Source organism: Homo sapiens, chromosome 5 (assembly GCF_000001405.40).
Source record: "Homo sapiens chromosome 5, GRCh38.p14 Primary Assembly".
Classification (NCBI taxonomy): Eukaryota; Metazoa; Chordata; class Mammalia; order Primates; family Hominidae; genus Homo; species Homo sapiens.
Window position 1 is genome coordinate 96,792,808 of NC_000005.10, and position 26,616 is coordinate 96,819,423.

The window sequence follows — 26,616 nt, forward strand, 5'->3', positions numbered from 1 at the left end:
TGAAAATAGGAATAAATATTTACAAATGAAAAGAATCATTGGAGTAGGATAAAAAAATTTTTACATAAGTTTAATTTTGCTATATGTGATTTTCTTAAGTTAAATGTGGTGATTTAAAAAATAAACCATATAGCAGTTCCAAAGCAATAAATTTGTGATCCAGAAGCCTAGGTTGTTATACAATCAAATGTGCAGTTACCTTAAGTATAACTCATTTGATTTGGCAAGTAGGGTCCTATTGAGATATCAGTAATCTGTACCTAATAATTCTGCAATGAGCAACCTGAAGGTTGGGAAAATGAAATGGAACATTTAGGCTGCCATTATTTCTATTTCTTTGATATTAAGAAATATAAAATCGGACAATTTACAAACAATCATAGATTCACAACTGAGTTTGTAAATAAGTCTTTGTGGTATATCTTGAAAGTTCACTAGCATTTTTGCAACACGATTCATATCTAAACTGTCAAGGAAGTTATCAGTGAAATATTTTTATAAGTTCTATAATCAAAGATTAGTGAATATTTTCCAGCAATATTGAACAAAACAACAAATTAACCTCAAATGTGAAGGATAAATAACTACTTACAACTTTCAGTTCAGGATGGGTCACACTGACAGACACAAACTCCATAAATTTGGCAAATCCTTCATTTAGCCAAAGATCATTCCACCATTCCATAGTGACCAGGTTCCCAAACCACTAAAAGCACAACATAAGCCATAAACAAAGACACTCAGAAAGAAGTATATTTTAGATGTCCAATATAAGTTTATGAATGTTAACATATATTTACAGGACCAATATTTAATCAAGGTAAAAATAAAAAAAGTTCAACATGCATTATAAGACATAAAAACGAATGCTTTGGAGAAACAATTTTTCCTATTAAAAAAAGACAAAGTAAAAATTATATAAATAGCCTTATATGTCCCATAGAAGCAATATAAATGTAGTTTATACTTTATTAAAAGTGTGAATGAGCTTATACCTGGTGAGCCAGTTCATGGGCCACAGTCATTGTGATGCCAAGCTTACTTGATGCAGAAGACTTTTCTGCATCAAACAACAGAGCAGATTCTCTATATGTTGTCAGTCCCCAGTTTTCCATAGCACCAGACTGAAAGTCGGGAATAGCAGCAAGATCTTGGGAAGGAAGTAATAAAATACATTACCAGTCTCTAAGCTATACATTCTCCCAAACACTAATCTTCAGAATGGATAGGTGTTTGAACCAGCTGCCCGTGCATAATCATGGAGCTCTAGACTGGAAGAACCTTTCACAATGGAGAAAAAGAGGCTTAGTGACTCAGCATCACTTTGCTATAAATGTGGCAAAGTCAGACTTGCATCTCAGGCCTTTTTTTTTTTTTTTTTTTTTTTTTTTTGGAAACAAGGTCCCACTCTGTCACCCATACTGGAGTGCATTTGCAGTGGTATAATTACACCTCACTGCAGCCTCAACCTCCCAAGCTCAGGTGATCCTCCCATCTCAGCCTTGCAAGTAGCTGGGACTACAAGAGTGCACCTCCACACTCAGCTAATATTTTTGTACTTTTGTGGAAACAGGGTTTTGCCATGTTGCCCAGGCTGGCCTCAAACTCCTGGGCTCAAGTAATCCACCTGCCTGGGCCTCCCAAAGTGCTGAGATTACAAGACATGAGCCACCGTGCCCGCCTTTTCAGGCCTCTTGACTCCATTTCTAACCTTCTGATGAGGAGTTTGGAAATTGAAAAACTAAACAATTATAATAATCCATTCTATTTTGGATGCCCAAGACCCACATATACCTAAAAAATCAAACATACAATAGTTTTAAGGGCTTGTGTAAGAAAGAAAATTCAGATTGTCTTACACTATATAAATTTATTCATTCAAAACAGTTTGTTGAGCATCCTCTGGGTTCCTGCCAAGCAGGTGCCAGTAAAGAAAAAATGTAGCCTCTTCCCTCTGCTGTCTGCCCACTAATAAAATCAGAAGGCAAAAGAGTCCCCATGCCATATGCCTCAAGAACTCTATGAAGATCTGCTTTCTTCACTATCACTAGAAGTTACTGTACTCATCAAGGGTGAGGAGATGCTCAGAAAGATCAACCGCAGGTTTGTCACTTGCTGGGGTTTTTGTGGCTTGAGGGGCTGCTGAGGCAACTACAGGGATGTGCCAATTATAATGACAAATCTATGACTGTGTTCATCAAATGTCATGTGTAATATCTGTGCAAAATCTCTACCTTGTTTGGGTAGGGGATACGGTATGCTGAAATAATCCTCATAAAATTCTAGAAGAGTCACCGCAGCATCCAGTGCATAATCTGCTTGATTTATCTTGTCTGGCACAGCATAAACAGAAACCTAAAGAGAAAGGCACAGAAAGGAATTCAAATATCTTAACTGGCTTCTCTCCCCACATTGTGTAGAAGACTGACATTAATGTCTTCATATTGTGGGATATGGTTGCCAATATTAAAGAAAATAATTGGGAATTCCATTTCTTGCATTAATACTGACTGTTCCTGATTAATCCCCCTTCTGAAAACAACAACAAATGCTGGATAACATGTATAAAGTGTTCTTAAATGTGTTTATAAGATGGCAAATGAGAAAGAAAGATTTAGAAGCCAAAGTGAAATGACAGTTAGACCCTCTGATGTCAGGAGAGCACTGCAGCCAGCTTTAACCCTGCCGGCACTAGCCCAACACAGCTGGACTTGAGCTTTGGTTCTTATGTCATTGAAGGACTCAGGAGTTAAGAGACCAAGTCCAGGGCCTGCCCAAAGTAGAAAGTCTAACAGGACATACAATCCCTGCATAAAGCTAGTACCCAAAGGCCAGGCCTTTAATGTAAAGGTAAACTAGAAATAACTACCCTTTCTCAAGGAAACTACAAGTAAAGTGATCCCTGGACCAGTAAGTACTCCCAGACACTCTGTAAGAGCAAATACAATTTCTCTCTGGAATAATCCACTTTAGACTCAGGCAACGTAAGCTCACAAACATAATTCATAATACAAACAAGGAAACAAGATACCATAAGCAAGAGCCAGCAGAAACAACGAACCACAAAATCAGATACACAAAGAATTCAGATAAAACAATTACCAGACACAGATATATAATTGTATGCTTAATGTGTTTAAAGAAATGAAAGAATTAAAAATATTAATATAGATTAGACATTACTAAAATAATCATTTCTAAGAGATTCAGATAAGTGGCAAAGCAATGGGCGGGTGTTTTTGCTGATAGTTTCACTGCTGAATTAAGAATGTTCCCTTCATCCGAGTCTCAAGCGTCACCTTCAAATCCCCAGTTAAGTAAAGATACCTCCACAAGAATAAGAAATCTCAGCACTAGAGGAACACAAAGCAATTCAGCAGGGAATCCCCATCTATTCAGGCCTCAGTGAAAACCAGCACAAACACATAAGGTATCTTCAAACAAAGCATCCCTTCCTCCCCTCAGAAAAACCTGTTTGCATTCTGAGCTACGGCACACAGTTGAATAGGTTGCCCACTATGCAACAGTACCCAAATGAGGAACAAGTGTGCCTTGAAACAAGATTTTTCTCTCCAGCATTCCAGTGTACCTGGCCCAAAGCCTTTGGGTATTCCAAGCAGGTTGCTCTATCTTCCTTACCATAGCCAGAAATCCCCTGCCAGATAGTAACATTTACTTCCAAACTGCAGAAAGCCATAACCAGAAGCAACCTTAGAGACCATTGCAGGATCTAGTCCAAGTTATACCTTCCAAAGAAGTAAATACTAAGTTTCAGAGGGAATAGGGCCAAGGTCAGAGAGTCAGTGAAGTGACTGCAGTGAAGCCAGGATCATGACTCAGGCCAGGCCACACTCTCTCCACGTTGTTGTTATTAGAACCTCACTATACAAATGAGCATCCGTGACAACAGGCTGGCCAACCATCCCAGTTTGCCTGAGATTGAGAAGGTTCCCAGGATGCAGGACTTCCAGGATTTTGGTATTTGGTTTTGTCTTTGTTTGTTTGTTTAGAGACATGGTTTTGCTCTGTTGCCCAGGCTGGAGTGCACAATCATACCTCATTGAAGCCTCAAACTCCTGGGCTCAAGGGATCCTCCCTAGTAGCTAGGACTAGTAGCAGGCACAAGGAACCATGCCTGGCTAATTTTTTTATTTTATTTTTTGCAGAGACAGGTTCTCACTATTTTGTCCAGGCTGGTCTCAAACCCCTGGCCTCAAGTGATTCTTCCACCTCAGCCTCCCAAACTGTTGGGTTTATGTTGGGTTTACACGCACGACCCACTGCGCTCAGGCAGACTTCCAGTTTTAAAACCAGTTCCAAGCAAACCAGAACAAGCTGGTCACCATATGTGACAGTCATAGGCTCACCTTGACTCCACTCTTGGTTATCTTGCTGACAGACTCAAAATCTGAAATGATGAAGGCCACCAGATAGGTGCTCATCTTCACAGTGACATCAAAATGGTCTTCTATGAGTCCTTCAGCAACAGTCACAGATTTCACCTAAAATCAGAATAATTCAAATTATCAAGTAATCCAATTATCCAATACAGTGAACATGATAAATTTCCTAATTATCAGACATAATATTAAAAGTGTATCAATCCCAGCACTTGGGGAGTCCGAGGTAGGCAGAATGCTTGAGCTCAGGAGTTTGCGACCAGCCTAAGCAACATGGTGAAACCCTATCTCTACAAAAAAAATACAAAAATTAGTCCTGCTGGTGGTGCGTGCCTGTAGTCATAGCTACTGGGGAGGCTGAGGTGGAAGGATGGCTTGAGCCTGGGAGGTGGAGGTTGCAGTGAGCCAAGATTGAGCCACTGCACTCCTGCCTGGATGACAGAGCCAGACCCTGTCTAATGACGCTTCTATAGTTACTTTAAAAGTTATCTTTCCAATGTCTAATTATAATTTAGACATTAACGTCAAACAGTTCTACTCAATTTCTTTTTTATTGAGATATAATTCATATACCATACAACTTACCATTTTAAAGTTTACAATACACTGTAAATCCACATTTGGCATATGTGGATTGATAACACGGATGAGACAAAGCAAAACTGAAATTGTGAGTTTTGCCAAGATGTGGCTGATCCACTTTTCCTTAAATACAGGTTTGAGAATTATCTGGCAATGCAATGTCGAGCTGTTGAGCATATACGCAACGGGGAAAATATATAACCCTGTAGTACCTAAAAGAGCTTCTGTTCTGCTGTATAACTGAAAGTAACCTGGGCCGGACACAGTGGCTCACACCTGTAATCCCAGCACTTTGGGAGGCCGAGGCGGGTGGATCACAAGGTAAGGAGATTGAGACCATCCTGGCTAACACGGTGGAACCCCATCTCTACTAAAAATATGAAAAATTAGCCGGGCGTGGTGGCAGGTGCCTGTAGTCCCAGCTACTCGGGAGGCTGAGGCAGGAGAATGGCATGAACCCGGAAGGCAGAGCTTGCAGTGAGCCGAGATCACGCCACTGCACTCCAGCCTGGATGACAGAGCGAGACTCCATCTCAAAAAAAAAAAAAAAAAAAGATTTGCTTCATTTGCTTCATTGGAATCACCTTTTTAAGTGCAATCAGAGAGTAAGGGTGGGGTATAGTTGATGGAGGTACAGTCTTAGAGGTCTGCCCCTAAAGAAGAAAGTCTAACACGTCAGCAATAAAAAGCACGGAGATGGAAAAAGAACCAGCCAGAATTAGCTGGGTGAAACCATGGTCACGGGCATTTTTCCTGTAATCCAATACTTACCTCTATTGCTCTGACCTCATCTTTTTTTTTTGTTTTGAGAGATAGGGTCTTGCTATGTTGCCCTGGCTGGTCTTGGACTCCTGACCTCAAGAAATCCTCTTCTTCTGCCTCCCAAAGTGTTAGGATTACAACCATAAGCCACCTCACCTGGCCCTCATCCTTCTTAATACCCATCAGCCACCAACTTCTGGTCACTATTTGGTCATTCAAACCAACTCTGCTACCCAGCCTAGGATTACTCATAAAGGATCCCAAATCATCTTTTCTTTTTAAATGCATTCTGCTTCTGCCTACCTACAACAAAAATTTCCTTTTTTTTTTTTTTGAGATGGAGTCTCACTCTGTCACCCAGGCTAGAGTGCAATGGCACAATCTTGACTCACTGCAACCTCCACCTCCAGAGTTCAAGCGACTCTCCTGCCTCAGCCCCCCAAGTAGCTAAGATTACAGACATGTGCCACCACGCCCAGCTAATTTTGTATTTTTGTAGAGACAGGGTTTTACCATGTTGGCCAGGCTGGTCTTGAACTCCTGACCTCAGGTTATCCACCTGCCTCAGCCTCCCAAAGTGCCGAGATTACAGTCATGAGCCACCACACCTGGCCAAAAATTTCCATTCTCGAGTTGTGTTAATTATTAGGAAAATAACCTGATTAAATTAATTCAAATTTAAATGTGATTAATTTCTGCCCCATGCCCAAAAGCTTCAATGTTCCAATGGTATATATTGTGTTTTTCTGGTCTCCAAAAAGATCTTTTGAGACCCCATTGTTCTCCCCTCAGCTCAATATCTGCAGCCTGAGGTCAGGCTACTCGTATTAGATTTCTGTTAGTGAGAGGTATTCCCGTCCAAAGGGACAACATTGCATTAGAAGTTTTCCTATCCTCAAAAAAAAAAAAGAAGTTTTCCTATCTTCACTAAGTGGATCCTGGATATCCATGGATTTAGACTGTAGCATCTTTGTGGCGCTTCCAAAGCTCCAGGCCTCCCTTCTGAAAGCCTACAAATTTCTCCACTAATCCTGTTTGGTCCTTCAGTCTCTCTCCTGTCTCCTTCCCATCCCTGGTCCTTTATTCTCCTAGAACTTTGATTCACCAATTAAAGAACTCACTTCTGTCCCAGGGAGTAATACCACAATACTGGGGGAGAGGACTATATTTTGAAAAAGCACATCCTGTATATTAAATTTATATTAGGAAAATAGCATAATTGTTTCTTGTCTTTTCATATACAAGGGTGGGAGTGGGGACAGAAGTTCTTGGCTGGTAGGAATTTGCAGAAGAGTGATTTTTACAGAGGATAGCCCTCTGGCGTGGGGTGGGAGATCCGAATCTTGTTTGAGGAAGGCATCCTTATGGTATGAAGGCAGGTAGGTATAGAGTTTTAAGGTTGAGAAGCACCACACTAGAGGTTGGTCTGTGGCTCTCAGTATCTCTCCATGTTATGATATTGCTTCCCCGGTCAGCACAGGGACAAAGCTGTTCTTCCCTCAGGACTCTAGGCAAAGCCTATTCTACTCTGACTCTGATCCCCAGTGAGTTTCTCTGAACAAAGGATGTGCTTCCAGGAGGTGTTATATACCAGCTGCAGAATGACGGCCCAGCTGATGCTTTTCTAAACTACCAGAATCAAAGGATGATGGCACTTACTGAACAGTTTTATTCATTTGGCATGGTCATCTTCTAGTCACTTTTAAAAATCAGAGGGAATGCTGTCCACATCCGCATTGAGATTGGGGAATAATAGTTTCCCTCTGGAAGCTAAGCTATCTATCATGACTTACCTTCAGCACCATAATATTTGGAAAAGATTACTTTTATTCTCTTTTTCTGTCTGCCCAATTTTGTACATTCAGTTACAAATTATATAATGAATATTACTATATAGTATATGTAACTTAGAGAAAATAACTGTATGCTAAAAATATGGCCTTATTGACAAAGCATTACCTTTAAAATCATTTTAAAAGATCATATGAGAAAATGAGGGTGAAAGTGCTTTGTGAAGGGCACTAATATTTAAACCTGACCTGAATTTCTTATACCACTTCCCTCCTATCAGCATGTATAACCTGGAATGGCACTGTTACTGAAATCTTGCATTTTTAGGTGCAATTTTTACTTTGATTACATATAACTATGGCTTGAAACAAAAGCATAGGTTATAAATGAAAAGTTAGTAACGATCTGCCAGGCAATAAAACAAAACAGGTGACCCAATGTTGACTGTCACTGGGCTAGTGCAAGTCACAGAGAATCAGTAGATTTTCCTATAGAAAATACACAGGAGTGCAGACTCACCAATGGCATATTGGAGATGGCTAGGTGCCTTGGCTCTCTTCTAATTTTGATTGAGAAACTTGCTTTGAAGGCAGGTTCATCAAAGCAGGGAAAGGCCATTCTAGCTGCAGTGGGTTCAAATTGTGTTGATGCTAGTATCCTAAAATTAAGGCAAGTGAAATAAAAATTGAGCATGAAGCACCAGGAACTCTAAAACAGGTGTTTGCTTTTTAATTCCTAAAGTTACTATAAGATTGATGGATTTTGCTACTAAAAAATATTTCATCTGACAAAAGCTATCATAAACTAAGTTAAAAGACGAGTTACACTGGGCATGGTCATGGTGTCTCATGCCTGTAATCCTAACACATTTTTGGGAGGTTGAGGTGGGAGGATTACTTGAGCCCAGGAGTGTGAGACCTACCTGGGCAACATGGTAAAACCCCATCTCTACCAAAAATACAAAAATTAGCCAGGCATGGTGGTGCAGGCCTGTAGTCCCAGCTACTTGGGAGGCAGAGGTGAGACGATGGTTTGAGCCCAGGAGGCAGAGGTTTCAGTGACCTGAGATTGCGCCATTGCACTCCAGCCTGGGCGACAGAACCAGACCCTGTCTCGGGAAGAAAAAAAAAAAAGTTAAAAAGAAAAAGTAAAAAACAGGGAAAATTCATTTAAGAAGTATGTGAGGAAAACTTAATAGCCTTAACAGATAGTGAGATCCTAAAAATATGTAATCCTAAAAATGGCTCATACCTGTAATCTTGGCACTTTGAGAGGCCTAGGCGGGCGGATCACGAGGACAGGAGTTCGAGACCACCCTGGCCAACATGGTGAAACCCCATCTCTACTAAAAATACAAAAATTAGCTGGGTGTGGTGGTGCGCGTCTGTAATCCCAGCTACTCAGGAGGCTGAGGCAGGAGAATTGCTTGAACCCGGGAGGCGGAGGTTGCGGTGAGCCGAGTTCGCGCCACTGCACTCCAGCCTGGGTGACAGAGCAAGACTCCGTCTCGACAAAAAAAAAAAAAAAAAAAAAAAAAAAATCCCCAACAACCAAGGGAATCTCAGGCAAAGTCAAAGGTCATTAACAGGCAATTCATAAAAGAAGAACCTATAAATCATTAACAAACATATCAAAAGCTGCTCAACTTCCTTAATCAAAGTTACGTAAATTAAAAAGAGATCATTTATTTGGGGACCTTTTTTGCTCTAAAAAGACTGCCAATATACACTATTGGTGAGGGGTAAGAAAAAATGACAAAGTTTATCAAAAATTTATAGGCTCTTTGGCTTACCAATTTTACTTCTAGGCATTTATTCTAAAGAAATAATTTACAAAAATGCTCATCAAAGTGTTGTTGATACTGAAAAATTGGAAACAATTTCATTTCCATTCCCGAGGGATTAAAGATATTAATGTACAACTATGTATTTTAATAAAATCATTAAAAAGATGTCTAGTAATAGTCATTTATATAAAACATCTTCCCAACATATTAAGTTAAAAAATTTCCTTGTAAAAGAGAAAATATAAGAATTCTATTTATATAAAATAATATATATGCATATCCAGAAAGAAGTCTGGCAGAATATTCCAGTGAAATAGAAGTAGTGGTCAGTTCAGGGGGCTATGAGTGAAATAAATTTTACTTTCTTACCTTGATAAAATAATATGGAATTTGAAAAATAAATTAGTATAATCTACCAACAAATAAAATTCCATTTTAAAACTGAGCATAAAATCTCCCCCAAATAAGTCTCCTCCTTAAAAACAGAACCAAAGCAAGGTGAGAAGAGATCTCTAAAAAAGTTTTAACTGAGATAAAAGTATTTCCTCTAATATGTTGCTAGTAGGATTTGCTGAAGTCCTAACCTGTAGTATCTGTGCATGTGACCTTATTTGGACATAGGGTCTTTACAAGTATCATGGAGTGAAGAAGAGGCCACCAGGCTGGGCCCTAATCTGGTATGTCTGGTTTCCTTATAAGAAGATGGAGACTGGGACATAGGAAAATAGAATGGCCATGCGACTAACAGAGGGAGAAACTAGAATGACGCAGGTGCTAGGCATGGAGTACCAGGGATCCACGGCCACCACTAGATGCTAGGAAGATATAAGGAAGGATTCTACCCAGAGTCTGGAGGGAGCACGGGCCTGCTGACACCTTGATTTCAGACTTCTAGCCTCCAGACCTGAGAGAGAATACATTTTGTTGTTTATAGCTACCCAGTCTGTGGTACTTTGTTACAACAGCCCTAGGAAACTAATACACAGTTCAGGAAAATTAAACATGTTTATTATGTCTCAGAAATCGAACCAAATAAACAAATAGATATTTACTCTGATAGAGCTGGGGGAAAGAAAATTGGTTAAAATAGAATTTTAAAATGAGATTTAAAAAGCAAGGGAAAAAGCCATTTTTAACACTATAAAGAAGATGCAAAAGCAAAACTGAAGAAAAAGTTCAACAGCAAAGGGAATTTTAAAAGACAATCAATCTGAAATAATGAATTTAGCGTGGGCAGCACTTGCAGTTTAAAAGAAAAAGAGAAAAAAAAATACCTCAGTTCCCCTTCCTTGGTTCTGTAGGTGCTTTTGTAAAATCCGTGGAAAGTCTCCGAAAGATTGCCAGCATAGTGAATGACAACTGTGTACGGGAGCCCGACAAGGAGGGGCTCGGGAGCCAGCAGTGCAATTTGCTCCTGACGGGGGTGTTCCAGGACCTGCAGGGGTTCTTCCGATAGCCTCTCTCCAGCTCCCTTCCTGAGGGTGGCCCTAGATATCTGCAGGTGGTGACTATGCAGGATGATGGTGCTGGTGGGCTGACTGGCTGTGATTTCTACTTTCGTGGTTCCCCAGAAGGTCAGCGTGGTAAGGTTTGCATGGATCAAGAGATCATAATGAACTGGGATGACGTACTCAGGAAGTCGTATTTTATTCCAAGGAAATGGTGTCCCATCACTACGTTTTGGAGATGCTTCAGTGCTCTGACACCATGAAGGAGTGGACACAGTTAAGAGAGCCAACAGTGAGGAAAGTAGAAATGACATGGTTGCAAGGGACCATTTGAGGGGCAGAAACACCATCTTCTTGCTCTACCTACCTAGCGGCACAAATGTACAAAAGCAAAAATATATGTCATTAAAATGTTATTGACACAGCATAATTTCAGAATGTATCCACCCAGCATTCACAGAAATAGGCATAAACTTCCAAAAGTACTAGGTCTTTTCCTGAAAGTAAAAGGACCTTCCCTATGTTATGGTTTCATATAAGAAAGATGTTTACAGTTAGCAACAATCATTAACACGTACTAGAAAGCATCATTTGATGTTCAAAGTTTAAATTAACTCTACCTGTCAGGGTTCTTGGTTGAAAGCAACCGAACAAGCTCTGGCTGATATAGGCAGAAAAGGAATCATTAGGGGATCCTGAGTGGCTCACTACACGGGTCACAGAGTTGCAGGACATTTGGGAAACCAGGCTCATGAAAGAAGCAAAACCAGAACCATATCAGAGGAACATCTGATCAAGCACCACTCCCCACTGACACTGGACCTTGGAGAAAGTCACCCTAGTACCCTGGAAATCAAATGCTGACACAGTGGCAGCCACCACTAGAACGAGGTCTCCACTTCCCCTGTAAGTATATGTAATGGTAACCTTTAATAACATCAGTGTCTTCCTCAAATTGTCATGCCAAAAGTTAATTACCTATTTATTTAGCCAGGAAGAGCTTAAAGAGCTTAATTTTCCCAGTAGTTTGTGGCAAACGTATCAATCACCTGGATTGATTTTAAAGACATAAAAGCAATGTGAATTTCAGGCCAGGCATGGTGGCTCACGCCTGTAATCCCAGCACTTTGGGAGGATGAGGTGGGCAGATCACAAGGTCAACAGATTGAGACCATCCTGGCCAACATGGCGAAATCCCGTCTCTACTAAAAATACAAAAATTAGCTGGGTGTGGTGGTGCGCACCTGTAGTCCTAATTACTTGGGAGGCTGAGGCAGGAGAATCGCTTGAACCTGGGAGGCAGAGTTGCAGTGAGCTGAGATTGCACCACTGCACTCCAGCCTGGCAACAGAGCAAGACTCTGTCTTTAAAAAAAAAAAAAAAAGGCAATGTGAATTTTAAGGAAGTTGGCAAACCATGCCCCAAGCATCAAACATAAGTTTTTATTTCTTTTATACAAACGCACCTTTCTAATGGGTGTTTGCCAAGAGGGGCCCATACCAGGTGAATGCAAGTGATTGGCCCAAACTCCTCGTGTTCCAGTTGGGAAAAGTAGCAAGCTTACAATGTGGATCCCTCAAAGTGTTCACAGTACATGGAATTCTCCCTCTCTGAGATGTCAAGTTTCCTAACTCTGGCTGCATATTAATGTAACCTGGGAAGCTTTTAAAATTTTCGATGCCTGGGTCCTTATTGACAACAATTAAACTGGAACCTATGGTGATAAGATCGGGGTATGGTTTTACGGATTGTTTAATTTCTGGTTTTTGGTTTTTTTTTTTAAAAAAAAAAAAAACTGTCCAGAGATTTTACTGAGAAGCCAAGGTTGAAAAGCTCATCCTTGCCAAATCCTGGCTTTCCCCCTTCAACTCTATGTGATAGGATACTAATTCAAGGCAATGGCTGAAGTGCCTTCCCTAACCCCTGACTTCCTTGCTCCCTTCCCAAATGCACAGCTCAAGGGAATTCCCTTCTCCTCACCTCTGGAGCAATCTGGAGGCTAAACAGAAAGGATACCTACACATTAGAGAGAGTCTTGGAAATCTCATAATCCCAGTTCAAAAGGCACCACCCAGGTGAGACAGGAAGTGTGAACAGGGAGAACATTTTTTTGCCCTTGAAGTTGGGGAACTAGAGAGTAAATGGAACTTGTGTTTTGCTTTCCATATGGAATTACTGGCAGCAACAGCTTAATGAGCATCGCCCCTGCCCCAAGACGGGATCCAGAGGACTCTGTGAAGGTGGCAGGTTCAAGCATGTAAGGACTCTGAAAGTCCCCGAGACCTCTCCAACAGCCCCAGAGAAGATCTAGAAATTCCAACTCGTTATGAGCTGACAGAAAGGCTGATGTGCTGCGGAAGGGGTTGGTACCGGGACCTTGGATCAGAGGCTTTGCAGGGTTGGGTCCATGAGGGGTCCAAAGAGAAACAGTTATGTCTCAACGAGGATGCAGTGCATGAGTGGGGCTTGGTAAAAACTCCATGTAGTGAATAAAGGGCTTCACTAATAAATTCTCTTATTAATCCCAAACTGTAGGCTACATCCAAGATTCTGTGATCATGTTCGTGTGTTTGGCTCTTCCCCTGAAAAATTAGCTCTTGTTTGGCTTTGCTTCCAATAGTAAGTGTTCCAGTTTGAAACATGGCATTTCATGGTTCTGGCTGGTCTCCTAGGGTCTGGTTTTACTAACAATTTTCTGAAAGGGAGGCAGTTAAAAAAAAAGAAAGCTCTCAAAAACAGTAGTCTACTCAATATAAGCAGCTCTTCCCAAGAGAAGTACAATTCTCTTTGAAGTTACACTCCACTAACACTTAAAGGAATAGAAGCCAAGGAGGAAAAAGAACTAATATTTACTAAGCTCCTCCAAAGTGCCAGGCACTTTACACATGCTCACTCTCTCTAATAGCCTATTATTCTCATTCAAGGTGGGGTAACTGAAGCAAAGAACCATTCATGTAACTTTGCTAAGTTCACACAACTTGTTGGAATGCAATCCACATCTGTGTGAGTATAAACTCCCTGCTTTTTCAGCTTCACCAAGATCCCTCTTTTTTTTTTTTTTTTTTTTTTTTGAGACGGAGTCTCGCTCTGTCTCCCAGGCTGGAGTGCAGTGGTGCGATCTTGGCTCACTGCAACCTCTGCCTCCCTTCCTTTTATTGGGGCACTATAGTATATGAAATAGATCATCAAGAAGTAATTGAGGTTCTTCCAGAATTTCCTGAACAATGAAATTAACAAGCACTGTTGGTAAATAATAAAAATGCTGGATTAATTTGAAAAAAAAAAAAGTACTAGAATGTTTCTATTCAGGCCGCACCTGAAAATGTGCTACTTATACTAATTAAAAATCCTCAGGCAAGAGACAACTGTGCCCAATTTTCAAGTTTTTTGTTTTGTTTTGTTTTGTTTTGTTGTTTTGTTAATTGTTGACCACGTCCTGAGTTCAGAGCGAATCCTCTGGGTGTTTAATAGGAAACAGATAATTTCTTTCTGAACCTAGCCTACACAAAGAAATCCAAAAGCGTGAGGAAGTGTGTGCTCTCCCCCTTCCCCTCATGGAATTAACTTTGTAGGACCACCTGGCCAGTGAGGCACCCAGATAGGAAACTTTTAATTTGCGTCAACAGAGGTGCTTTATCTGAATAAAACCCAGCCAGAGCCAGAGCGAAGGGGAGAGAGAGAATTGCTGACCAGAAGAACAGGAGAAGCAGGGAGGGAAGTGACCTTAAGAACACACACGGCCCGCGCATCCCACCCCACCAGAGTCTTTAACCCAAAGCCTCTGGGTTTCTCTAGCAGCTATGGGCAGGTGCCCTCCTCAGCCCGAGCCAGCTGCCCGCCCCACCCCGCCTTTTGGCCTCGCGCGGGCGTCGGTGGCCTGCAGGACTGGCAGGCATCCAGGCGCCAGGCGGAGCGCTGAGGGAGGCTCCCGCCGGCCGAACAGCGGGGAGACCCGTGAAGCAGGCGCACCGGCCACGCGCCCGGAGGGACAGGGACAGGGACCGGCAGGGGTGGGCCCGCCGCCAACCCGCCGGGCACCCCGCGGACTCGGGCCTAGCCAGCGACTCCCCCCGCCCTTCCCGCGCCCTGTCTCGCGCCCCGTCGCCTTCCTCCCGCGCCCCGTCGCCTTCCTCCCGCGCCCCGTCTCCCTCCTCCCGTGCCCCGTCTCCCTCCTCCCGTGCCCCAGGCCCTCAGCCCCCCACTTGACGGGCGCAGGGAAGGGGCGGGTGCCGCGCTCTCCTCCCGGCCCGCAGTCCCCTACCCGCGGCTCGAGCGCGCTGTACCTGGGGTTCTGGGGCCGCCCTCACCCTTGCGCCGCCGCCACCACCACTGCCGCCGGCCTAGCTCCCCCAGGACCGAAAGTGAAAGTGGAGCCCGGGGAGCGGCAGGCTGGCGCTGAGCGGCGCTTCGGCCCGAGCCCTAGCGGCAGGCGGGGAAGCCCCTGGCTAAGGCGGGAGCTGGGGAAAGGGTAAACGGGAGTGGGGCCGAGCGAGGGAAGCCGCAACTCCCAGGAAGGGAATTGGTAAATGAGCGCTGCACGCCGGGGAAGCTGCGAGGTTGCGATGCGGGGGATCAGGCGTAGGAAGTGCACGCCTTTCTGAACGCGGATCCGTGTGTGTGTGTGTGTGTGTGTGTGTGTGTGTGTGTGTGTGTGTGTGTGTGTGTGTGTGTGTGTGTGTGTGTGTTGAGATGCTTTTTGTTTTTGTCTTTTTTTTTTTTTCACTGTTTAGCGTTGCGAGGGTTAGGGGCATGCAGGAAAGGGCCGGTGCTCAAGTTGGGGACCGAAGCCAGGCAGGCGCTGACAAGTCCACCAAGCCTAGACGCGTTCGACGCCCATTGGACTCGCTGGGTGTCCGTCATCTCGCCACTGCCAGTGGGCTGAGAGCTCTTGGCCCGCCTCGGAAAGAAACATGAACCCAGTACTCTGTCGTGGCAAAGTGCCGCACCTTCTGGGGCTTCGGTAGAGAATGACTACAGTGGGAGATGCTGTAGAGGAGGAAGGTGGGTTAGAGGTGGCCCCCAGGACTTTCCTGCACTACCAAGGGCCACTGTACCCCAAGGATTAGCTGCTTCCCGCATCAACACGTTCCCTCTGATTTTTCAAAGTAAATGACCATTTCTTCACTCCCCTTAGAACAATTAAAGCTGAATAAAATGGCCAAAAAGACCATCTTTAAACAGTTGAGGCTAAATGAGGTAACAAGTCAAGAAAACACAAACATTAAAACACCAAATGCTACAAGTTTATTACCGAAAATGGGTCCCGATCCAGACCCCAAGAGAGGGTTCTTGGATTTTGCGCAAGAAAGAATTTGAGGGGAGTCCATGGAGTAAAGTGAAAGCAAGTAATTAAGAAACTAAAGGAATAAAAGAATGGCTACTCATAGGCAGAGCACCCCCAAGGGCTGTTGGTTGTCCATTTTTAGGGTTATTTCTTGATTATATGCTAAGCGGGGGAAATTATTCATGCCTCCCCTTTTTAGACCATATAGGGTAGCTTCCCGACGTTGCAGTGGCATTTGTAAACTGTCATGGAGCTGGTGAGACCGTAGCAGTGACGACCAGAGGACACTCTCATTGCCATCCTGGTTTTGGTGGGTTTTGGCCAGCTTCCTTACTGCAACCTGTTTTATCAGCAAGGTCTTTATGACCTGTGTCTTGTGCCTACCTTCTATCTCATTCTGTGACTTAGAATGTCTAACCTCCTGGGAGTGTAGCCCAGTAGGTCTCAGCCTTATTTTACCCAGCTCCTATTCAAGATGGAGTTGCTCTGGTTCAAACGTCTCTGATAATTTGGTGAGTGGACCATGGTCCTAGTGGGAACAGGACCCTTTTCATGCGGTTCTCAGACTTTCTTCTCCCACTTCTTTATTGGCCTTCTTCCCTTTGAGAACTGGGGATTCCAAGTCACTGCAACAGTATTTCTCTTTTTTTTTCAATATTATGTTTCCTTTTTAAAAATATAATGTTTCATACTGCCTATTATCTCTAGTCAAGGACATTTTATAATATAAAGATTAACACCCTGTTCCAAGACTCAACTACGGTGGGATCCAGGGAAGTTTTTTTCACTAAAATTCAACAAGAAATGAGGACTTTGAGATCTGGTAATTTCTGCATGTTCAGAATTTGACAGGAGGTATCAATGGATAGCGTGTAGCCTCCAAGACCTCCAGACATCTCGGAGTGCTCCCAGTTTACTCAAGATGAGACCTCTTTGTCCAGTAAATGTATGCATTTCTTTGCTTTTATATTTATATTTTTGAATATGATGGTTTTCCTTTGGCTTCTAGTAAAGTTTTTTTGTTTTTGTTTTTGTTTTTTGTTTATGTGTCTTTTTAAATACATATTGAAAGTCCAGCTGGCAGAACTGAATGCACCCAACAGGCTGGAGGTTAATACAGAAGACAGCTGAGGAGACAAACAGGGCAATGCCCTGAATGGATGTGGGCAGAAAGGAGCTGAAGTGTAGGCGAGGAGAGAGCTGACACCACCACCCGCTCCACGCCGTTTCCCCAAAAGCTCACCCTGACTCAGACTTTAGCCTGTCGCCCTGGCCGTGATTTCGTCTTTAGAGTTGAAGTGCACTACAAAGAGCGATAAGTCAGAGGATTTGGCAGCATTCACTTCTAGTTTCAAAGCCCTAGCAGGGATGTAGAGGACACAGACCTTGGAGTAAGGACTTTAAGGAGTCCTAGTTCTAGAGCCTGTGAGATCAAAACAGCACATTACCGAGCTTAGAAATGGTTAGAAGGAAGGGAACAGAGAGAAAGGGTACCTAGGTTTATTGATTCCCTACCAACTGTTAGATACTGTTAAATGCTAGCTATGTGTGCATGTGTGTGTTTATAATTTGATCTCTTCAGCAACCCTGTAATGTAGATATTATGCTTTATAGATGAGAAAAATGAGACAGGTCGGCAACTTGCTCAGAGTCAAAGAGAAAACACACACTAATTCTACTCACATTGCATTGGCCAGAACAAGGAGGGGTTGGTAAACACTAATATTGTATACCATATAGTGTAGGAGGGCTGGTTGGCCGGTTGAGCCCATCCATTGCAGAGGCTTCTCAGTGTCCTTAGTCCCAGAGGTGAGCCAGAGGAATGAGGAGAATTTCAGGCCTAGGCCAATGAAATACATACCACTTTGAGCTATTACTGATCTACTTAAAAAATATTGAATTCTAGATATTGTCAAGTGATGTTCAATTTTGCTGTAATTGATTGATTCAGTTCTGCTTTCATTAGCTTTTAGTCAATTAATGTCAGCGTTTGGCTCATTTCTTCTGTTTTGCTGCCAAAGCTGCTCCTATTTTAATCATATTACCACTCTCCTTTTTGATGTAAAATCTCATCCAGAATCATGGTGTAGAAAACAGACAAAAGCAGGCCTGCTCTTATTAAACAGGGCAGCTCCACCCAGTCAGCCTTGCCCACTGCTATCCGGCCCTTCCACACACATTGTGGTCCTTGAGACTCTTCCATAGGCTCCCAGGGCCTTAGAACTTAATTTTTTTAAATGCCAATTTAAAAAAAAATAATAATGCCCCTCATTCTTGATATTCTTGATAAAGAGGATGACTTTTTTCCCCCTCTGTGCCAAGTTGCAGAGCAGGCTTGCTTAACAAAAGCAATACCATCTTATTAATAATCAGAAACAGGGAAGACGGTACAGATGCCATGTTAAAGACTGTTCCAAAACAGGCCACTGAGCTCATATCAAATAATAAAGTCCTCTGAAATGTGGCAGCTTGAAAGCATTTACATATAGTCTATCTCATGGGATCCTCACATTGTACTTATGCAGGTGGCTAGTAGCTCCATTTTTCTAGAATGAGGAAACAGGATTAGAGATGTGAAGTGACCTACCAGGGGCCACCACATGGAAAAAGCCTGCTTTAAAGTGAAGCCAGTTCAAAGGACAGCAGGGCTGACAGAGACAGAGAATACCTCCACTAAAGCCCTCAGCTCCAGCTGTCCTGAGCAAATCCTGTCCTTAGACCTTCCATTCAAGAGGACCAATGCTTTCCTTTTTGATTTAGCCAGTTGGAGTCAGTCTTCAGAGAGAGTCCTGTATTACCATACAACAGAGCACTATGGGAGCGAGCAATGTATGCCAGATTCTGTAGGAACAACTCAAGCAAGTTGAGTGACCACAGCTGCCCTTGAACTTCTAGAATTGTGGATCCTGAAGAACATTCTAGGTGCCACGAGGACTGATCACATGTTTCCCATTTTCCCTCCCTCAGGCATTTATTTCACAAGATACTGCTGTCTAAGGTAACCTGAGCATGTTTCCAGTTCTTGCAGCCTTACAGAACCCAGGGAATCCACCTGTCTCCAACCTTCCTCAGTAGGTGACAGGCCCATCTAACTGCTCTCTAGCCAGTCTTCTGTATTCCTGTTGCTTTTACCTTTGCTCGTGTCAACAAGGAGGTAAGTCACCATGACATATTTCTTAAATTTGTATTTCTTTCATCACTAATGAGACTGAATATATGCACTGAACATATGTTAATTAGCCGTTTTTGCTTTGTGTTTTCTCTTTTGAGAATTATATGTTTATGTTTCTTGTCCATTTATCTACTGGAGAATCACAATTCAGTTATATAAAAATTATCTATGACACACAAGAGAAAGCAATGAAATTTCTTTAAAATGCAAAGTGTCATAGTCAGTAAAGCTCTACTATTTCAAAGAAAACCCACAAATGTGTCTGGATAAATCATGTCAATTTCTTAAAAACCCAGATCTATACCCGTTATGGTGAGTTGTTTGAAATATCAGAATTTACTAGATATTGTCAATATGAACAGATTAAAGCAAACCTTTGTTTAGGAGGCTTTATTTTATTTATGGCTCCCTCTGCCACAGCTATTTCACAAAGAAAGAATGAATTATCCAGCCAGGAGTGAACATGATCTTTGCATATGCCTAAAGGAATGATAAAAATATTGGGATGAAAAATATGTAGATTTGTTTATTGTTATTTTTTGAGGGACCATGGTGTTATGCTACTAACTGTCTTGCCTTAGCTATAATGAATATCTGTTGCAATAACTAAACATGGGAAAAATAACTTTTCAAAACCTTAGTTTCTAGAAGGTTAATGGATTTTATTATATTGAAATTAAATGAGCTATGATACAAAGGAGAAAAGGAAAGAAACGAATAACTTTCTCAATGAAGTTCTGTAAAGTATATACAATTGGGGCCTGAAAAGAGAAACTCATTTATGCTCATCCATACATGGCAGTGTGAAATTGACAGAGTTTGGCTTAAGTGAAGTCTGTGGTTCTAGGAATGCTTGCAATTTATTGGAAAATTAGATTGTGATTATGGAAGAAATGACTCAAGTGGTCTTCAGGCCACCACAGCCTTTCTTTTTTTTCTTTCCCAACCCTTCCTAAGAGACAGTTCTCCTTATCTCATTTAAACTTATGGGTTTGAACTAAGTGGTGGGAAGTGGAAGAAAGAGACATTATCTTACCCCTATAAACCTACAACACTCCCTTGGCTACCCTGGTGCTTAGGAATGCTGACTTTATCTGTCCTTAAGAAGCTGTCTGGACCATAGGAGGAATGCTTGGTTTTATTTACAAAGCTGTCTAAAGGATGAACAAATGAAGTGTTTAGAGGCCCTTTGAGACAAAGAAATACTAGCTATCAAATTGAAGAGAAGGGCAACAGGTTAGGCATAAACATTTTAAAATGCAAGATAATCTCTAAGCCTTTGAAAAATTTTAAGAGTAGTCTAATAGGCAGGTTTAGGGAAATAATTAAAATGACCTCTAGGCCAGGCGCGGTGGCTCACGCCTGCAATCCCAGCACTTTGGGAGGCCAAGGCAGGAAGATCATGAGGGCAGGAGATCGAGACCGTCCTGGCCAACATGGTGAAACCCTAGCTCTACTAAAATACAAAAATTTAGCCTGGCGTGGTGGTACGTGCCTGTAGTCCCAGTTACTTGGGAGGCTGAGGCAGGGGAATCCCTTGAACCCAGGAGGCGGAGGTTGCAGTGAACCAAGATTGTGCCACTGCACTCCAGCCTGGCGACACAGCAAGACTCATCTCAAAAAAAAAAAAAAAAAAAAAAAAAAAGCCTGGACTGCCTGCATAAGGCATCTTCATACACGAGGAAGATAAACACCTTACCTTACTTGTTTAACAAACTGTAGTTAGCATTCTGTTATATCTAGCTAAAAGAAATTCTAAAAGATAGCCTTACAGATCAAGCCATAAAGAGCTAAATCATTTCAAATATGTGTTCTCGTGTTATAATGTTTTTTTAGTGAATCCAACTGTTATGGTATTTGTTTAGGAAGTTTTCCTTGTCACTTTTTACTATCTTGTCTAAGAAAATGGCCCATTTCCTTCCTTTGGAGGAAAAGTGTCTCTTATTGTTAATTTTATTAGTTATCTATTATTGTGTATCAATAATACGAACATATCAACTTAAAACAACACATTTATTAACTCACAGTTTCTGTGGGTTGGTAGTTTCTGTGGGCTGCAATCAAGATGATGACTGGAGCTGCAGTCTCACCTGAGGCCCAGCAGAAGGGAAGGATCTGCTTCCAAGCTCACATCATTGTTCCAGCATTCCGTTCCTCATTGACTATCGGATTGAGAACCTCAGTGTTTTGCTGACTGTTTTCTGGAGGCTGCTCTCAGATATGACTAGTTCCTTGCCATATCCTATGGGTTAGAAGCAAGTCACAGGTTTCTCTCACACTAAAAGAAAGGAAATTATGCAAGAGAATGAATACCAGGAGGCAAGGATCATGGGGGCAACTTAGATTACGTCTGCCACACTAATGTTACTGCACATTGAAGATATTTCTACTATTATAATCTTAGGATTGGCATAGTCTGTGTTTTTGAGGCAGGGAAGGAGACATATATCAAAAAAATAACTGGTGAGTGGATAATTGGGAAGAAATTACAGAAGTGACTAGATTCTAGAGACTAGAAAGATTTGGTTCTTCATTGAGCTGAAAATAGGAATATCTCCCAAATAAGAGATATTCATGAGAAATCAATGATAGCTTTTTTCCTGATGGAAAAATGAATTAGCTTATGCTCATCAGAAGTGATGCCAAATTCAGGAGAAAGAAGGCAGCTGACATCCTGACCAACAAAGAGACCAAGCCCCGATAACTGGATTTGAACATCGGTGAAGAAGATGATTAAAGGTAGAAAGAGCCTTTACAGTCTAGAGAAAATAGTATAGGCCCAATGGAAGCTCAAAGTTGAAGAGACTTTTAACAGAAAGACAAAGGAAAAGGTGTCCTTGGGACTAGGGGTCCGAGCAAGACCTGAATTATAAACTGAGCAGCCACAGAGAAGCACTACAGATGTAGCTGAGTTATCTAGGCCTAACACCAAATATTCTAGAAAGACCCAAAGTACTAACCAGCTCTGGCAGCAAGACCAGCCCATGTCTACCTCTGCAGAACTTTGAGAATCTTTGGCTGATTTTTATTACCTAACTCCCTGTCCATAAGAGAAGGGAAAGAGACCAAGACTGAGTGGTTGGATCAGCCAAAGATGTCAAAATTAAACTTCAGTTAAATTAGCAAGAATTCTGGGCTTTTCTGTTTCTGTAGCATTGTGTTAGATTTGTTTTTTCCCTTGGTTTTCCAGTCCTGGTGGTAGATTGCTAAACTTTTATAAAATCTGTGTGAGTTTAGCATTCTGACTGTTCCCATTCTAAAAGATGAAAATAGAAAACTCAAAGTTTATGTCACTAATTTGATCTTTGTAAATGCACTGCTAAATAAAACACCCAAACTATTAAGGTGTTGTTGTTGTTGTTGTTGTTTGTTTTGTTTTTTATTTTTTTTTTTTTTGAGATGGGATTTTGCTCTTGTTGCCCGGGCTGGAGTGCAATGGTGTGATCTCGGCTCACAGCAACCTCTGCCTCCCATGTTCAAGCGATTCTCCTGCCTCAGCCTCCTGAGTAGCTGGGATTACAGGCATGCGCCACCACATCCGGCTAATTTTTGTACTTTTAGTAGAGATGGGGTTTCTTCGTGTTGGTCAGGCTGGTCTTGAACTCCTGACCTCAAATTATCCACCCACCTCGGCCTCCCAAAGTGCTGGGATTACAGACACACTCAGCCATTAAGGTGTTTTTAATTCTTTTTTTTCTTTACTGTTTTTGTAAGCAGTAATTTATTAACAGATGCAATAAGTAAATTGAAGCAAAAAAATACATCACAATGCTTAAGAAACTTGCTTAACAGAAAAAAGATTCCTGAGCCACACTCTGAAAAATTCTGATACTGTAAATCTTGAGAGATAAATAGACACATATATGTATGTGTGGATAGACGGATGGATGGATAGATAAATGGAAAGATAGAGATCGAGATATAGCCTAAACTTCATGGCAAGTATAAGCTACTTTTGGGAATTTAGGGGAATAAAAAATTATTTTATCACTGTTGTACTAGGAACAAAGCAGATTTTCCACACGTTAGCCAGAAAATGTAGGAGAATCAGTGAACCTCAAAGGGCCAGCACTAAAAACTGGGCAGCATCAGTATCAGTTTTGGATCCTAGAAAAACTATTGGAGATGATGCAAACAGAAGAGGGAAGAAAGGTAGACAGAGTCTGGACTCAGCTGCAGTTTGTTGATGACTATCTGAATCGTTCCCTTGCATTCTTTCTTAACGAATTATACATGTGAAAATTGCACACTTGAAAATTAAAATATGGGTATGTACTGGAGGGAAAGCACTGAGAGAGGAGTTAGGGGCTGGATAGGCAGATAGAGATGGAGGGTCTAGGGAGAAGGGACAGAAAGGAACAATGTTCACAGGAACAACTGCAGGACAGCACCTACCCCGCCTCTGCAGCTAACAGGAAGAAATGTGGTTAAGAACTTGCCCTTATGCCAGGATGTTGCTCAGCAGGGACGGTCTCAACTTAGGCACAGGTGCAACAAATCAACCTAAATGTCCTTAATTTGACCCAGCTCACTATAATGCCATTAACATAACATTAGCGTTGTGGTTTTAGGCACCTCCCACCATGGGTTTCACTTAGGCATTCAACCAGTTGGAGTCACTTTGGTCAACCTTAGGCATGCGTAGATATAGTACCCCAGGAGGGAATTTTATCCCTCCCATGTGGGCAAAACCCACAGAAGACTTCCTGGCTTCTGCCACATAAAAGACACAGAACACAGACACCTTACTGGCAACCTGCTTTCAGGACCCCTCTCTTCGCTGAGAGCTTTCCTTTTGCTTAATAAATTTTACTCTGCCCTACTCACCCTCCATGTCTGTGTGCCTATTTTGTAGTTGTGAGATAAGACCCCGGACCTCACCAAACTCCAGGGGCAAAAGCAGACTGCTACAGCACCAGAGTGGCCATTCTGCTCGTGAGTTTTGGACTATACATTCTCAGTTGGCAAAACAGAGGAACTGTATAGTAAGGAATTAATAAGTGTTCATTGTTTAGAGAGTACAAACTCTAAGCAGAAAGGAGGATTACATCAACTAGGACACTTTTGAAAGAGAAAGTAAATGGTAACCTAAAGACTTGGGGTTGGAGGGACGGGCAACCAGCATAAATCAAGTCTCCCCATGGGCAAAGCCAGGGAACACAGAAAGCCATTCCTGCTAGGCAGTCCCAGGGCACAGAGCAGGATAGAGAAGGGTGAGGAGTGGACCTATAGGGGCCAATGGAAGACCTCCAGCCTCAGCTTGTTGAACCACAGCAGGTGTTTCCTATGGGTCTAACTAACCAAGCATCAGTTAGCAACTGTGATCATCTAATTCACCTGCTCATCAAAGCAATAAATAATGCCAACCTCATTTCATGTTTTGTATCCATGCAATTATAAATAAGAAAAAGAAAAATAACACAATCAAAAAGATCAATGACATTTTAAAAACTAATTTCTATGTTGTGTCAGGGTTCAATGGCAGAGCACAGAATCACTAAGCTATTTAATCAGAAAAGGATTTATTGCAGGCTATTACATGACTTACATAATCATTGGGAAGGCTTAAAAAATACACTAGACTGAGCTTCCAGAAACAAATCGCAAAACCACAATGTAGAACTTGGCCACCAGTGAAACTGCTTCTCTTGCCATGATCCAGGAGCCATCTGCTAAATTGGGCAGCCTCTGCCACAATTGCTGGCTCCAGAACCATACCATGTGTGCCACAATCTTTCCCCACAAAATGAATAGCTCAAGAGCTGCCTGTCTCCCTACCGAACTCAATTCCAAATTCAAGTCTCCCACCAGTGCTACTGTTTGGCAGAGCCTAAAGCACATCTAGAATCTAGGAGCAAGGAGTCTGGAAAATAAAGTGTTTGCTTTCCCGACTCTGCAGTGGTGTGAGAAATTCTGAAAAGCGTTTGGAAGAGATGCTGAGTGAGCCAGTCCCAATATCTGCAATAAATATTAAACTGTACTGAGGTTGAACAAATAAAAAAGAAATAAAGCAATCATGAGGAAGCCTCAAGTAATATTGATTGTAATTAAGAACAAAAAATAATAATTGAGGTACCAATCGTAGATTTAGATTATGAAAGACACGGGGCACTTGGGAGTGAGATGAATATTTAACATTGTGACAGAAGCATATTGCCAAAAATCAAGTTATCATTTGGTATATTTGGAATGTCTCCAGGGGCTTTAAAACCCTTTTGCCTGCTCAACACACCTCCCTTTCCTCCTGTAAATGAATAATCACACTGCTCAGGCTCAGTCTGAGATGAACACAACACCTCCACTCTCTGGCCACCGCGATGAGGCCAAGGGCAAAGCCAGTCCAAGCAGACTCCCAGCCCAGGATTGTTCTGGCTGAAGCTAACAGGGAAGCCTCTTTTTTTTTTTTTTTCCTTTATGTTCCCAGCACTATATAAATATGGCCCTAGAGTTAATGGCTAAGTTCCCGCTATGGGTGATGGCTGAGAGAATAACCCCAAAGAAGAAAGAAAAGGAGGCTAAGCTTGAGAGGCTTTTTTTGTTGTGCAGGTTTTCTGAGTTCATCCTTAATTAAGGCCTGGGACTACCTCTTTCCTCCAGCTTTCTTCAACGCCCGAGGCATTCAGAATCCATGCCATAAATCCTCCCTCTTGGATAAAGATAGTTTTATTGCGGTGAGAATCAGTAGCGTTTAATTTTAAGAGTTGTAATAAACAAACCACAGTCTCAATCTTATAACCTGCTATTCCACTATTCACTTAAAGGAAGGTAGTGTCTTTTGTGTTCCATGAGAAAAGTGACATTTCTTTGCTTTCCCATACATTGAGGTCAACCTAAATTCCAATGAAGCCAAACCTGAACTGCATTTATTTATTTATTTATTTATTTATTTATTTATTTATTTATTTATTTTTGAGACGGCGTCTCGCTCTGTCACCAAGGCTGGAGTGCAATGGCATGATCTCAGCTCACTGCAACCTCCGCCTTCCAGGTTCAAGCGATTCTCCTGCCTCAGCCTCCCGAGTAGCTGGGACTACAGGCACCCACCACCACGCCCGGTTAATTTTTATATTTTTAATAGAGACGGGGTTTCAACACGTTGGCCAGGATGGTCTCAATCTCTTGACCTCGTGATCTGCCCGCCTCGGCCTCCCAATGTGCTGGGATTCCAGGCGTGAGCCACCACACCCGGCTTGAACTGCATTTTCTAACCAACTGACTTTATTTCAGTGATTTTGTAACATCACTCAATTTCAGGTAAGTACTCTCTAAGAACAGCTTCATTTGTCAGAAGCCTCATGGACAGCTGCTACCACCATATCATCATGTTTTCATCCTACAGACAATCATCAGCGGTGTAGACTGGTGAGTTCCAGCTATTTCACTAACAATGG

General features: G+C 42.1%; 1 protein-coding gene and 1 long non-coding RNA gene across 20 annotated transcripts in view, besides 6 other annotated features; one reads left to right on the forward strand and one right to left on the reverse strand.

The window, feature by feature from the left end:
- Positions 1–26,616, reverse strand: part of ERAP1 (endoplasmic reticulum aminopeptidase 1) — a 175,042-nt gene that overhangs the window by 31,995 nt on the left and 116,431 nt on the right. For 4 of the 19 annotated variants that reach the window (XM_047417310.1, XM_017009581.2, XM_011543485.3 and 1 more), the window contains 7 exons: positions 21,251–21,503; positions 10,596–11,136; positions 8,055–8,193; positions 4,368–4,502; positions 2,235–2,355; positions 996–1,150; positions 593–706 (listed from right to left, as the gene is read on the reverse strand). In XM_047417310.1, coding sequence (XP_047273266.1) covers positions 593–706; positions 996–1,150; positions 2,235–2,355; positions 4,368–4,502; positions 8,055–8,193; positions 10,596–11,119 — 1,188 coding nt within the window. In that variant the 5' untranslated portion in view covers positions 11,120–11,136; positions 21,251–21,503. Of the gene's footprint in view, positions 1–592; positions 707–995; positions 1,151–1,179; positions 1,240–2,234; positions 2,356–4,367; positions 4,503–8,054; positions 8,194–10,595; positions 11,137–15,030; positions 19,706–21,250; positions 21,504–26,616 lie in introns of those variants that run through there. The other 15 variants (NM_001349244.2, XM_005272016.5, XM_047417312.1 and 12 more) reach the window with 9 other exon arrangements.
- Positions 14,559–15,018: a silencer, noted in NCBI's record as "silent region_16195". NCBI's record gives its function as "represses an Ori minimal core promoter by ATAC-STARR-seq in GM12878 lymphoblastoid cells {active_cell/tissue: GM12878}" and the evidence as "EXISTENCE:reporter gene assay evidence [ECO:0000049][PMID:35858748]".
- Positions 14,559–15,092: a biological region, named in NCBI's record as "H3K27ac hESC enhancer GRCh37_chr5:96143101-96143602".
- Positions 14,591–15,092: an enhancer, noted in NCBI's record as "H3K27ac hESC enhancer chr5:96143101-96143602 (GRCh37/hg19 assembly coordinates)". NCBI's record gives its function as "activates a minimal SCP1, AML or CMV promoter by ChIP-STARR-seq in primed H9 embryonic stem cells {active_cell/tissue: H9 hESC(primed)}" and the evidence as "EXISTENCE:reporter gene assay evidence [ECO:0000049][PMID:30033119]".
- Positions 14,651–24,051, forward strand: LOC124901033 (uncharacterized). The gene is made up of 3 exons (XR_007058879.1): positions 14,651–15,770; positions 19,021–19,207; positions 21,270–24,051. It is a non-coding gene; the product is annotated as an uncharacterized LOC124901033 (long non-coding RNA).
- Positions 15,093–15,592: an enhancer, noted in NCBI's record as "H3K27ac hESC enhancer chr5:96143603-96144102 (GRCh37/hg19 assembly coordinates)". NCBI's record gives its function as "activates a minimal SCP1, AML or CMV promoter by ChIP-STARR-seq in naive and primed H9 embryonic stem cells {active_cell/tissue: H9 hESC(naive and primed)}" and the evidence as "EXISTENCE:reporter gene assay evidence [ECO:0000049][PMID:30033119]".
- Positions 15,749–15,818: an enhancer, noted in NCBI's record as "active region_22816". NCBI's record gives its function as "activates an Ori minimal core promoter by ATAC-STARR-seq in GM12878 lymphoblastoid cells {active_cell/tissue: GM12878}" and the evidence as "EXISTENCE:reporter gene assay evidence [ECO:0000049][PMID:35858748]".
- Positions 24,108–24,247: an enhancer, noted in NCBI's record as "active region_22817". NCBI's record gives its function as "activates an Ori minimal core promoter by ATAC-STARR-seq in GM12878 lymphoblastoid cells {active_cell/tissue: GM12878}" and the evidence as "EXISTENCE:reporter gene assay evidence [ECO:0000049][PMID:35858748]".